At 41.1% G+C, this 13,836-nt stretch overlaps 1 long non-coding RNA gene across 2 annotated transcripts in view; it reads right to left on the reverse strand.

The window, feature by feature from the left end:
* LOC105378543 (uncharacterized) overlaps positions 1-13,836 on the reverse strand; it is a 43,029-nt gene that overhangs the window by 6,349 nt on the left and 22,844 nt on the right. Inside the window, exons 1-2 of one of the 2 annotated variants that reach the window (XR_946437.3) lie at positions 13,239-13,364; positions 10,979-11,154 (exon numbers count right to left, since the gene is read on the reverse strand). This is a non-coding gene — a long non-coding RNA (uncharacterized LOC105378543). Of the gene's footprint in view, positions 1-10,978; positions 11,155-13,238; positions 13,365-13,836 lie in introns of those variants that run through there. The other variant, XR_007062331.1, reaches the window with a different exon arrangement.

Genomic DNA, 13,836 nt, shown 5'->3' on the forward strand with positions numbered 1-13,836 from the left:
GCACCAGCCTAGTAACAAGCTATGATACCATGGGATTCCACAGCATTGAAATATGCTCTTGAAAGTCAACCTCCGTTCCTGGTGTAGCACTTCCTTCCAGAACTAAGACTGTTTGAACAATGATTTATTTTTAAATTGCCCTCGACCGTTACAGAGTGTTTTAGAAGTGCTGTAACAGGAAGGCCATACATATTTTATTTAGGTGACTTTAAAGCAATGGTACAGGATTGCTATTGTGTCCCCTACTCGGCACTAAAAAAGGTAGGAGGAATTAAGATTGCAAATCACTCTACCACGTGTTATGAAACTAAGAACCATCCAAATAGCCCATAGAGTGCCTGGCGTAGGTAGTCACAGCCTCGGAGAGACACAGCCGAGCACATGCAGCTCCTTGACGCCCTCTCTTGCATTTGGAGATGTGTTGTTATCATCATTCTGACTGTGCACCTCCTCTGCTGGGTCTCCAGTATGGGTGTCCCAGAAGAACAATAGCAGGATTAGCTGGCAACTGGGTAAATTTGTAGTTTAACCTTGTAATCAAGGGGAAAAGAAGAAAGACTTAAGGAATGACGAGTCCACCTTGTCTTTCTTTTCAATCTGATCAGTTTCTTTTGGTTGAAAATGCTAATTAAACCCAAATGGGAATAAGTCAAGATGTTTCAGTCCTCAAGCCGAAGTGAGAAGTTTCTGGCGTCTCTACCTTCTGGGGATGATCAATGAGTATGAGGATTTTTCCTTTTATAACCAGAAACAAGGTGTGAGTTTTCCCAAGTGTGGTATGGAGACACTGTCTATTTTTTCATTACCCCTGCTCTTCCTATGTGATCTCGAATGTCAAGTCCCACATCGAGAAAATCAGCAAAGGCACCCAAGAATCTTTAAAACAAAAAACAAAAAACAAAAACACTCACTTTATCATCCTATTATAACTTCTGGCCATGAGCAATATTAACTTCTCAGATAAGGGAAAGCCAGAGTTCTACAAAATCTCAGAAAAACCTAAAAGGAAAATCTTCAGAAGAGTAATTTTCAGTGCCTGTGGGATCTCTTAAGGTGTGTCAACTCCATGTCACCTGTGATTCCTATGCCGGCTCCAGGGATGCTGGGCTGCTTAGAGCGTCATCTACTATCATGGTGAAACGTCTGACGAGGTCACTTGGAAGTGCACCAGTTCAAAACTGTCAGCCTCTCTCAAGCAAGTAGTCGTTAAAGAACACACTGAAGTTCCCAGTAATTTATTTGTTCAAGATGTCCTGGAGGTTGTATTTTGATGCTGGAGACAGTAGGCAGAGAAGACAATTCTGCAGCTGAAGGAGGCCTACTCTCTGGAGGGCCCACAGCTGGAAGATATTTACATCCTGGGAGACTTTCCAGACAATAGAGGGTACGTGCTTCATGTGCCCAGTCATGAGGGTTAAGTCTAGGGTAGCTTTGTGTATTTGTGAGGTCAATAATTTCAATGACTTCTTTTCAAAGACTTCCTTCAGAGAGGAGAGAAATAGTTCTGCTCAGATGTGGAATTATAGTGTCTCCAGTGACAAATGCCATGTTCTTCTTTTGAGAGCCTAAGGCCACTTACTGATGAAGAAATACAAATTTCATTTTACACGGAGCACAGTGATCTGAACTGTGATGAAAACCCAGTGTGCAGCCTCCCACAATTTCGTATGGTTAAGGAGACTTGAAAACTATTAAATTCTGAGGAGATTAAAATTTTCTATTCTGGTCAAACTGAAAGAACACAAGATTAATGTATTCCTTTTTCACAGTTCTGTAGTGACTTGCTGTGTGATCAAAGGAGAAAGCATTCACTCATTCATGTATTTTATAGGAAACATTTTAGTAGATATGTACTGTGTGGCAAGTCCTGAGCTAATTTCTAGAGGTAAGGATGAAAATGCATGGTTCTCCTTCCAAGGGGCCTACACCTAGTGGGGAGATGAACTTGAAACAATCGAGAAGATCGTTCTATGACAACAAGCATCAGCTGAGTTTCAGTCAAGGCCTGGGCGTGCTGGGCACTGGAGACACAAGGGGACAAGAGAGGCCATTTCTGGCTTCCTGGGTCACAGGCATCCATCGTGGGACAAGGACATGAAACAAAGGATTACATAGTTACTTAGTGATGATGTGGCCAGTGCCATGAGCCCATGGAATAGGGCAATGACCCACATGCTGGGAGCCGAGGGAAGTGACATCCAGTGCCAGCAAAAACAAGGCCATCAGAGAAAGAAACATGTTCAAGGATTATATTTGTGGCGCTTTTTAAAAAAGCATCAAACTGGTTATTGTGTGAGAAACCAGAACTTATTGAATGGCTGTACATGGATAGTGTGGTTTAATACTGCCTTTGTGTTTCATCACATTTCACAGAAAGGAGCGGTCACCACTTCAGTGCTTTTGCTACGAAGTCTCACACTGGTTCTGGGCTGGTCCTAGGCAGGACTTGTTTATTGTTTGTCTTGTCCACCCTGCACTAGACTATATACTCCAGAGAGTGAAGGTCTGCTTTGTTTTATTCACAACTAGGTCTCCAGCCCAGAACAGTGCCGGCCTATAGTATGCACCCAAAATGATTTGTTTAATAAAAAGTGAGTTCAGCAGGAACCTAAATAACTACAACAACTATAACAGAAATCTCTGCCACCTGGGGAAGGTACAGCACATACACATACATGCCCTGAGACAGAAGAAAAGGTGCTCAGATGTATTTTAGCTCTAAGTTTCAGCTTGGAGCCAGTTGTCTAATATAAGTCTTCCAATGACTCTGCAATGCAGATATTGGTATTTCCATTTTACAGATGAGGAAACTGAGGCTCACAGAGACTGAGTGAGTTGCCTCGGGTCACACAGGGAACAGGAGAAACAGGCACTGGCCCAGGGGTACTGGTTGGTTACGGCCCAAGTCCAATTCTGACTTGGGACACAGTACCCAGATATTTGATTGAACATGATTCTGACTTTTTCTGTATAGGTGTTTTTTGGATGAGGTTAACATTTTAATTGGTGGACTTTGAGTAAAGCTGATTGCCCTCCATAATGTGGGTGGGCCTCGTCCAATCAGTTGAAGGCCTGAATAGCACAAAGACTGAACACCCCTGAGCAAGAAGGGATTTTGCTGGCTAAATGGCCTCAGAACTCAACTGCAAGTCTTCCCTGCCTAACCTGTCAGATTTTGAACTCTCTATTTGTTCTGTTTCTCTGGAAAACCCTGACTAATATAATTTCTGAACGAAAATACGATTTAAATACCAGCTGATAGGACTTCAAAGTCTATATTCTTGCCACTGGGCCATGGTGCTTCCCAGATGAAAAAGCAAAAAACAGCCATGTTAGGAAAAGAGATATAAAGACGTGTAGAGGCTCAAATAAGGAGTGAATTGGTCAGTCTCATGCTGTAGTGGCTCAGCCCTTTGGTGGCCCCACTAAGCTGGGTCAAGTTCCAAACAACAGAATTTCTGGGCCAGCTGAGGCTGACAGTGACAAGAGAGGGATGATTTCTGGCAGAAGTACAAGCGGATAAAAAGATCTTGCCCAAACCTTGTGTGTTGTAAAACTCCAAATTAAAATTGATGAGATCTGACATCAAGATACCCTATGATTTCCTAGTCCGTCTTAGGACCCTAATATTCAGATAAAGCTGATCCCAAGACAGGCATAAAAGGGCTTTGATAAAATTGTTGTCACTCAATGAGCCTGTGACAATATGGGTAAAAATATTGAGAAGTTTGGAAAATTTAATCCAATTAGTAGCTTAGGCTCTTAATGTGCGATTATGTCCAAAAATGCTTTCAAATTGCCACATTTTTAATAGAAAGATGAAAAACAGGGATATTTTGTTAAATATTTATCTCATTAATAAACACAAGACAATCATTGCTTTTTATTTTGATTAACTTTTCCATCTGGGTTCAATGCACCTTTCAAAGACATAGTCTTTTCTCTTGATGTGAGGGGACTTAATTACAAAAGCACAATTGGACTTCTCCTCTGTATGAAAATGAAGCAAATGAAATTGCTTCCCCCCTCAACCCAGCGCATGGTTGTTGCTATGAAGACACACAATTGAATATGACAGTTTTCTGCTACCCAAGAATTGTTTTTGGATGAAGTTTGGGGATTATATGCAATTATAGAACAGTAAATTTTCTATGACCATTCATGTTCAAGGACTTATTTTAAAAATAAAATGAAAGTCTAACTACAGAATAAATGGAATCACGATAACAAATGTCCTTTACACCTCTGTTATATTGGTATAACAAAGATAACAAAGATAGAGTTGTAGCAGAAATCAGTACAGTATAAGCTAATTCCGTCCATGGGAAAACCATGTCCACACAGCATGACATCTTTTTATATCTCCTTTTCTATGCCTTAAATATTCACTGTTCTTCCTCTATATGTGGTTCTTTCTTCTTTACTATATGGTCAGATACCGTGATAGCTGAGGAATATGGCGTCGGGCCGATCGGAACCAGCAGCCCCCAGGGCTGAATGGATGCTGCTGCCTCCTCTCCCACTCCCCTGGTTCCTGGCAGTTAGATCTGCAGATGGTTTCCCCTAACAAGAACCAAGGCTCAGGAACGTTGCCCGAAGCCTTGCAGACTGTGGAGTCTACAGTGGTTAAGGGGTGGGGTGGGAGGGAGAGGTGGACGAAATTCACCCACTTTGCAGTGCAAATGGAGGCCCTGGAGTTGCACCATGTGGTGGCATGCCTCACTTTCTAAACCGCCCTGCTAGAGGTAGGGTATGTGCAGCCCCCATTTCCTGGCCTCTAGGACCCGCCTTGCAGCTCCTTGCCTCCACTGACCCCATGGTATTAAGGGTCCTTCCTGGTTCCCAGCCCTAGAGCCCTTTGCACCTGGGATGAACTCTGGATTCCTGCAGCTCCTGAGCCACTGCACCCTTTCCCCCAGTCACTTTGGTTGGCCCAGGGTCTTTCATCTGGCTTCTCAGTTTTCCCTACTTTGTTGCAGTTTGTTCCTCCCACTAGGATGGAAGGAAGCCCCACCCATTTGCCTCATCTAGCTCTTGCTAAACTCCTTCCACAGGGTTTGCATCCTGCCCGGATCCTCCCTGGGGCTTATGGTCAGATATTCTGGAAAAATGACTGCTCCCCACCAGACGTCTGATTTGTCTCTGCTGGTTCCCGTCACCCTGGCCAGATACTCAAAGCTCCCAGAATCTGAGCTGGGGTGGTTGCCCCCCCAGCCATGTTGTTTGGGGTTGCCAGAAGGTTCTCTTTAAGAAACATCTCTCTCCCCCAATGATGACTGGGCGCCTTTGACCGGGCTTCTAACTCATTCAAGGAAGCCAGTGCACCTCCAGCCAGTCTGGTATGCTGTCCCATCTCTGACAAGTGTCCCTTGAGAAATATTTCAGGAAAGAATTTTTTTGATCACTACAGGCAATGATCAAAGAAAACTAATTCCACTGTGTTTGTTACAACATCAGTGAAAGAAGTCAAGAATATAGTCTCAGAAGGAGTATAAAGCATGCAATAAAGGCCGATGCATAATTAATGAAGAGCATGTCTCTAACATAGTGCTCTTCAAAACCAAGCACACAATGTGTAATTATTCCTCACATCATCACAGGGAGTGGGCAGATGCTAGTTGCCTCTTATAAATAAGGAAATGGGAGAAAAGCCAGACTCTCTTTCCAAAGGAAACCACCACTAGAAAGTAGAATGAATAATTCTGAAAGTCAGTTACGATGCAGTTAAAATGTCAATATAAATCTCCATTTCAAATTTTCACTCATCTGAAATAATCACTGGGCATGTCTGTTTTACAATTATGCTGCCGAGAATCCCAGTGCTGCCCCAAATTCAAACCAGTTTACGAGTTATGACTTGAGTTATGACAAGAAAACCACTCCAATTTCTTCCAAATGGCAACATGGTTGGCCCAGTAGGTAAGAAAGAGCGGAGAACCAGTGACCTGTTATTTCTGTTCCAATCCCACCTCTACCACTACTTATCTCACACAGCTTCTTTGAAAGGGCTAAGTTAGCAGATAGATAGATTGATAATTGTCAATGTGTGGAGGTTGCAGTGAGCCGAGATTGCGCCATTTCATTCCAGCCTGGGTGATAGAGCGAGATTCGGTCTCAAATAATAATAATAATAATAATAATAATAATAATAATAATTGCCAATGTGTTAATATATATGCCTGGCATATGCTGAGCACTATATAAATAGTGCTTTTACTCTTACATTATATTCACATTTCATTTTCACCCCAAAGTGGAATGAGTTACCCATCTTGATTACCCTTGTTATTGATTGCAATTGATTCAAAAGGTGTTTTTTTGGGTTTTTTTTGTTTTTGTTTTTGTTTTTTAAATCAAATGTATCCTCAAATTTAGGTAAGATGAATATACGTACGGAATGGTTAAACAAGTTCTAAAAGCAATGGGATATTCTGAAAGGGTCACAGACTCAAATGTCTCCACACAGGTAATAGGAATGTGGTAAGTGGCCTGGTATAAGACAACAGGAAAAAAAATTTTTAAGAAATATTGGCTAAAAAAGCCACCTTTAGTGACATGCAGTGGGTATTAGTTCATGATGAGTGTTCTAATATGTTTACTGAAACATTTTTAGTATCTTTATCAAGTCACTGCTTCTCTCTCACACTCACAAAAATGTTTAAATAATAAACACACTAAATTGCGTTCTATGTGAAGGCTTTCTTTCATTATGATATTTCAAAGGGGCCTAAAACTGATTCTAGGTTGCAGGTGAGTTTATGGAATCAATCCCCTTACGTTTCAATGATTCGAGTAGCTCCAGTAACTCCTCAGCCTGCAATTGGTGAGATGTATTTGTGCCTATCTATGTAAGTCTAATTTGTGTTCTTGGGAATTGGAGTTTTCATTTGTTCTCTTTTCGCAATTACAGTGGAAATTTCTCAAGTGTAAGCACCATAGTTCTACTCAGCTTAATAATCAAACATATCTACTAAGTGCCTAATTGTATCCAGTGCTGCGCTAGGCAGATGGGAAGAGATTTCAAAGCTCAGCCTTGCCTCTCATGCTTGTAGTCTTGGGGAAGCTCACAGTCCCTGAAATGCCCCAGTGTGCGCCACCCTGTCTATCGACCGGTGCTCTGTCGAACAGTGCTTTGCATCCATTGTTTCATTCGGTCCTACAAAAGCCCTATAAGGCCGTTCTATTGCTATCCCCATTTTACAGATGGAAAACAAAGCAGAGAAAGACTTAAATGGTGACAAAGCTGCTAAACGTAGACTTAGGATAGTAACCATGCTGTGTCCCCTGTGGTCTGCCCTCCACGATCACACTGTGTGCAGTAGACCTTCTGTGGCTGCAGCACTCCCAGAATTCTTGCCCAGACTTCCTCTCTCCCAACGCAGATACTTTTTGCCATGCTAGTTTTTGAACACGTGTAGTAATAATAGAAGGGTAGGGCTAACTGGGCTTAGGAACCTAATTCTTCCTCCTGTCATTAAACCCTAGATATAGTAGGATTTTTTTTTTAATATCAACTCTATAGCATTGGGAAGAAAAAGAAATGTTAGTGGTTTCCTGAGTAAAGGAAAGCAGACAGGAGAGGTTTTATGAAAAAACAAGATTAGAGGATATCATGACAGAAGAAGACACTTCCGAGAAACCTACAGATTGAGTAGACACAAAAATAAGTAAGCCCATCAGACATTGGAATAGCACAATTTATAAGTTTTACCTAATCATTCTAACATAGAATTTTCTAAACTAAAATAGGGAATACACATTCTCTTCAAACATTCATAAAGCATTCACAAAAACAAAACATGAATTATGCAGAAAATAAAAATCTCAATAAAGTCCCCAAAGCAGAAATCTCAGTGGCCACCCTTGCTGTCTGTACTATGTTAACATTTAAAATTAGCAGTAAGGGGTAGGAAAAGAAAATCTTTGGAAGTGGGAACAAAAATGCATTCTTTTAATTTGGTCCGTATTACTTTTGATTGTTATTTAGAAATAAGTGAGAAGTGCCACGTGTACAAATATGTGTGTATGTATACATGTAGCAAAGATGTAAAGACATGCAATTTTACTAGGGAGTTGCTGGAGATGGAAATAACAGAATGGATGTTTAGAAGCAGGACCAACAGAATTAGGGAGTGGAGCTGACTGGCCCTCATCCACCACCACTGCCTGGGCTCCAGCGTTGCCTTATCTGAGCCAGACAGACAAGGTCTTGCTCACCAGTGTGTCCCAGTGCCTAGCATAGACCCATACCCAAACCAAGAGATGAATATAATTTTGGTGAAAATCTGTATTTAGGCTTGTCCATTCAGCATGGGATCCTGCCCAATGAGGCCATTGAAATTTAGTTACCGTCCTTTCCCATCTCCAGCAAATACTATGCCTGGCCAAGCTTTGAGAGATAATGACCATCTTATATTAATGTATACTCTGCCATTGGCAAAGCTCTTCAGTGTAAGTTACCAAGCTTTGATCCCGAAGACAAAATTATTATTCCCATTTGTCAGATGCTAAAACTGGGGCCCGGCTTAGCAGAGCTAAGACTTGGATTCACTACTCGAAACGGAAATTAAAGAGTCTATGCAAATAAGCTAACATTTACTGAGTGTCTACTATATGCTAAACACCGTGCTAGGTGCTTTTAAAAAGTAACTATTATTTTATCCTCAGAAGAACTTTGCAAGGACATTTATAATCTATATCTATTTTCTTTTCTTCTCTTTTTTCTTTTTCTTTTTCTTTCTTTCTTTCTTTTTTTTGTTTTTTTTTTTTTTACAATTTCACTCTTGTTGCCCAGGCTAGAGTACAATGGCACGATCTCAGCTCACTGCAACCTCCGCCTCCCAGGTTCAAGCAATTCTCCTGTCTCAGCCTCCCGAGTAGTTGGGATTATAGGCATGCGCCACCACGCCCGGCAACTTTTGTATTTTTAGTAGAGACGGAGCTTCTCCATGTTGGTCAGTCTGGTCTCAAACTCCCAACCTCAGGTGATCCCCATGCCTCAGCCTCCCAAAGTGCTGGGATTACAGGCATGAGCCACCGCGCCCGGCACTAATCTATATCTGTTTTCTATACCAGTTGGGAAACAGATGGGAATCTGCTCAAGGTCACATGGCCAAGAAGTTGAGGAGCCAGGATTTGAAGCCAGGTCATGGGTCAAGGTTCTTCCTCTTTTCCCAAGGTGGACCACCCCTCATTTGACCCAGGGCTTCAACTTAACCATCATTGGAGTATTGACAAGTAAAACATTTCAATGCAATTTAATTCTGACCTAGATCTTTCCTAGAGGAGGATGCTGCTTCTGTCATTTGAAAGTGATACTTCATGAAACTAACTAAGCTAAGGAACTGTTTGAAAAAGCAAAATGCTATTGATTGCTTAATAGCTGCCTTATAAATCACCCTGGGACACAAATCATCCACTGCTCTTCAAAGAACAGGAGCCCAATATCAGCAAGAAGCTGAACAAATGACCACACAATGCTTATTAGGATTCAGTAGGAAAGACCCACAATAAAGGCGGTTTATAAATATTTCATAGGCTTGATAGTTATTTGTTCTAGAGTTCTAGTTTTTATAACCATCATAATCAGTTATTTTTAAGAGAATATCCAGAAGAGAATCTTAAATTCTGATAGGTAACTACAATAATATTATAAAAGCACAAATCATGTGGGTTCACTTTATGTGAAGTATAGTCTAAAATACATCAATTTATTGATTTAAGAAATAGGTCTGGAGACAGAAGCAATTCTTGGAAACCTCCAGACAGCAAAATAAATATCTCTAATTATGAGTGTAACACCCTATCTGTGTTTGCCACAAATTTTACAGCTATAAATTTAAAAGCTACTTAGTGCTCCATAGTTTAAGTGTTCTGATATTGAGATCAATGTCTACCTATCCAAGAAAATTGCCCCAAAAGGGTAAACTCCACTCTCCCATTCTTCAAAGGGAAATGATAATATTGAGGAATTTATTTGAGGACATAGAATAGGTTGATAAGTGGGTGCGTTTGTTCATTCTCTTACTCATTCACAAGTTCGAGGAGCAGTTTTGGAATAGCTACTAGGTACCTGTAGGTTAACTGTTTTGAGGAAGGAGATGAGGTGTAGGCAAGCTACAGGTAGTATAATCCATTGATTAGCATCCCTTTAAAAAACTTTATTTTGGTACAATCCATATACAAAAACTGCACATGGTTTAAAGTGTATAATTTGATAAATTTTGCTATATGTGTACACCGGAGAATTTATCATCACAATCAAGATAATGAATACATCCCCATCCCCAAAGCTCTCCTCCTGCCCCTTCATAATCCTTCTTTCCTGCCTCTCTTGGCACACCCTCCACCCCAGTTCCCCAGGCAACCCCTGATCTATTTCTGTCATTATAGATTAGTGTATATTTTGTAGAATTTCATATAATTCGAATCACACTATACATACTTTTGTCTGGCTTCTTTGACTCAGCATTATTATCTTAAGATTCATCCACATTGTTGCATGTATCAACAGTTTATCGCTTTTATTTCTGAGTAGTATTCCATTGTGAAACTATACCACGCTGCCCTGAGCTAAAATTCCATAGTCTCCCACTGTTCCTTCCAAGCCCCAGTAGATTCAAAAAAAACGAAACACACATCTCAATTTGTTGTCTGCCTTTGGTCATTTTCTAGAATCATTCTGAAATGATTATTTTTGACCATTTTATCTAGTCTTATGTTGCTTTTTTGGAGAGAAGATTGCTGTCGTTTTTTTTATCTATCCCATCAGTGCTCAAGTCTCCATGTATTCAGGATAAATTAGAAGCATGGTGCCAGGATGGAAGAATAACGGGCAGAGCCAGCCTAGCAGCAGCCGTGTGAGTGATCGTGCTGGACCTCGCCTGGGGATGGGAAGATGCAACACAGTTCAGAGGAAGAATCAGCGGCACGCAGGCGCTCGGGTGAGATATTGAGCAGACAATCCTTAAAGACCCACCTGTAAAATATCCGACTGGTGATTTTAAACTAGTTTTTCGCTGTGCCTTTTCTTAATCCACTGATAGGAGGACAGCGATGCCAACCAGCACTTGTGATGCAACAGACTTTATTTTCAAGTGAACAGCTCAAATCCAGCATCGTTGAAAATCTGAAGTGTTCCGTGTTCCACGTTCCCTGCCAAGTAACGGCATCGCATTAAAAAAAATCAACATTTTCAGAAAGTCTTTTTAGTTTTCTCATTAGGACAAAGATTTCTGAAAAGACAGAGGCAAGCTTCTTTAGACATCACATAAAGCAAAGTACGCTCCAGGGATAACTGCAAAAATGAACTAGGGGAAACTGCAGCCAAATGAAATGCGACAAGCAACTGTCATATTCCAAATGGTCAATCAAAAGCTGGAACAATGTGAATGCAACAGAAGTCTATTATGAGGAAAATAATGATCTCAGGACAAGGGACACTTAATGATTTGCAGATTTAAGTACAAAATAAATATCCATCCATGTCCAGTGGGTAACTTTTCCAGTTCTAACCATTTTGTGTGGCTGAGAGTATTATCTGCAATAGTGGGGGCCTTTTTAAAGTGAAAGGAGAAACAAATAATTCATCTTCATTTACATTTCAGTACAATTGCAGAATACACTCGTCTGCTAGAAATGTGAATGATACACTGAGGATATGTTTTTTACATTCCAGAGTATCTCACTGTTTGGGCAGAATGGTTCTCTTACTGGAATTGTTCACAAAGCAACCTATTATATGGTGAGAGGTACCCTCTGGGCACCATTGAAATTAATATGAAAGGAAAAATCAAGAATGCCAAGTGCAGTGCATAAAACGCAGGTAGGTGGTGGGAGACAGATAAGCAGCCTAGGAGGTTTAAGTTGCAGAATCTGAAGCTGCAGAAAGATGTGTTATACAATTTACATTACAACCAGTCACGATTTTAGAATGGGTAATGAAAAGCTCATATAGTTAAGCATTGAGTCCATAAAAAAACACAAAAAGCTTTGCAGCACAAGGGAACTAAATGATGGGTAAATAGACAAAGAAGGTAATCAGGGAGCGGGAGGAGAAGGCCAGACTTGTTTTCACAAAATTCATCTGGTTTTGGCAACTCCACCTGCACATGGCACATGGCAATGTCTCTACAGTTAAATTATTTTCCAAGCAGGACTTGTCAACCTTGGCACCACTGACATTTTGGGTCAGATAAGTCTTTGTGGTGCACCTGTCCTGTGCGTGGTAGGATTTTCAGCAGCATCCCTGGCCTCCACCCTCTGGACTCCAGTAGCACATCCTCCCTCCGTTGTGACAACCAAAAAGGTCTCTAGACATTGCCAAATGTCTCCTGGAAAGCAAAATTGCCCCCGGTCGAGAACCATTACCTTAAAGGAAAGCAACAATAGAAACAACTCCAGTGAATTATTTCCCTTTGTGATCATATGCACTTTCCCCTTTAAAGAGCAGTAATTATAATAAAATGTTAATTTTGGCCCAAAAGTCCTATTGCACCTTAAATTAATCTGGAGGTAAACAATCAATTTACATGAGTTCCAGAAAATATTTTTGCTGATTTCTACCCCAATCTGTCTTAAAACAACTGGGAAAGTGTTTGGTCTTCTATCCATTCATATAGTGAGCAATGCTTTGTCACAAAATAAAACCATATCCAGGCCCTCCCAAGATATGGTGGCAGAATAGTAATTCAACAGTTTCTTCACTTGAAGACATGTAAAAAGAAAGCCAGGTATATTTTCTAAATGAGAGAGAGAGAGAAAAAGAGAGAGAGAGAGAGAGTCACATTTATACTTCCTATGAGCCATTGAAGCAGCAGGGATGGGCTCATGGTCACTAGTTGTCAGAGGTATGGAGGAGCCATTTTGATTCCTCCCCAGTAAGTTACTCTTTCCAATTACATGCCAGCTGTGTGGTTATTGCTGTAAGTTAAACTAGTTTCTGCTGTGTTTTTTCCCAACCTTGAAATAGAATTCTACTGTCAACTCCATGAGGGCAGGGATAGTGTCTTATCTGCCTGTTCACCTCTGTATCTGTAATACCTAGCCTGGTTCCTGGTCTATAGCAATCACCCAACACATGCTTCTTGAATGAATGAATGAGGACAGAAATGCCCATTTACAAGCAAATAGGTTAGAATATCAGTTCCTTAACAACAGATCCTTTTCTTATTTCTGTGCCACAAACAGCTCTGTGGTTGGTGCATATTGGGGGTTAAATAGATGTTTGAGGAACTCACCTCGAAATGTGAGGTCTCCACCTATGTTGTCTGGACAGCAAAGCCCATCTGGTTGAGTCTGGGGCAGATGTGCTTCTGGGGTCCTTTGTTCTAACGTGTAGAGCATGGTCTGGTGACCACACTCACTCTTTGGGCTGTCTCCTTGCATAACAGAGAGACAATAAATATTCCACCATGAAGACCCAAATTAAGACCACTTGTGCAGAAAGATGCCAATACATGCTTTGCGAAAAGACATTGTCACCTTATCTGACAGGTGAGGATGCAGATTTTGTCTCTCAGCATCGAGGTCCTGTTACTAGAGAATGTCTGAAGTGCCACAACGGCCACCCATATGCAAGGCGTGGCATTATTGGCCATGTTGCAGTCTAGGCAAAGGCTGCAATGAAATCATCTGAGGCATCACGGAGTTATCCTCATCTTAAATGGCATTATCTCTCCAATTGAAACTCGAACAACTCATCTAAAATGAAAAATCAAAAATATGCCAAGAAGCAGAGCTGGAGGAATGATGATGTGGCTCTTTGGGGAGGCGCTGAGGTTCTCTCTAAGAACAGAGGGCCCGGTGAGTGGCACGCTGGGATCTGCATTCAGCTGC

Source organism: Homo sapiens, chromosome 10 (assembly GCF_000001405.40).
Source record: "Homo sapiens chromosome 10, GRCh38.p14 Primary Assembly".
Taxonomy (NCBI): Eukaryota; Metazoa; Chordata; class Mammalia; order Primates; family Hominidae; genus Homo; species Homo sapiens.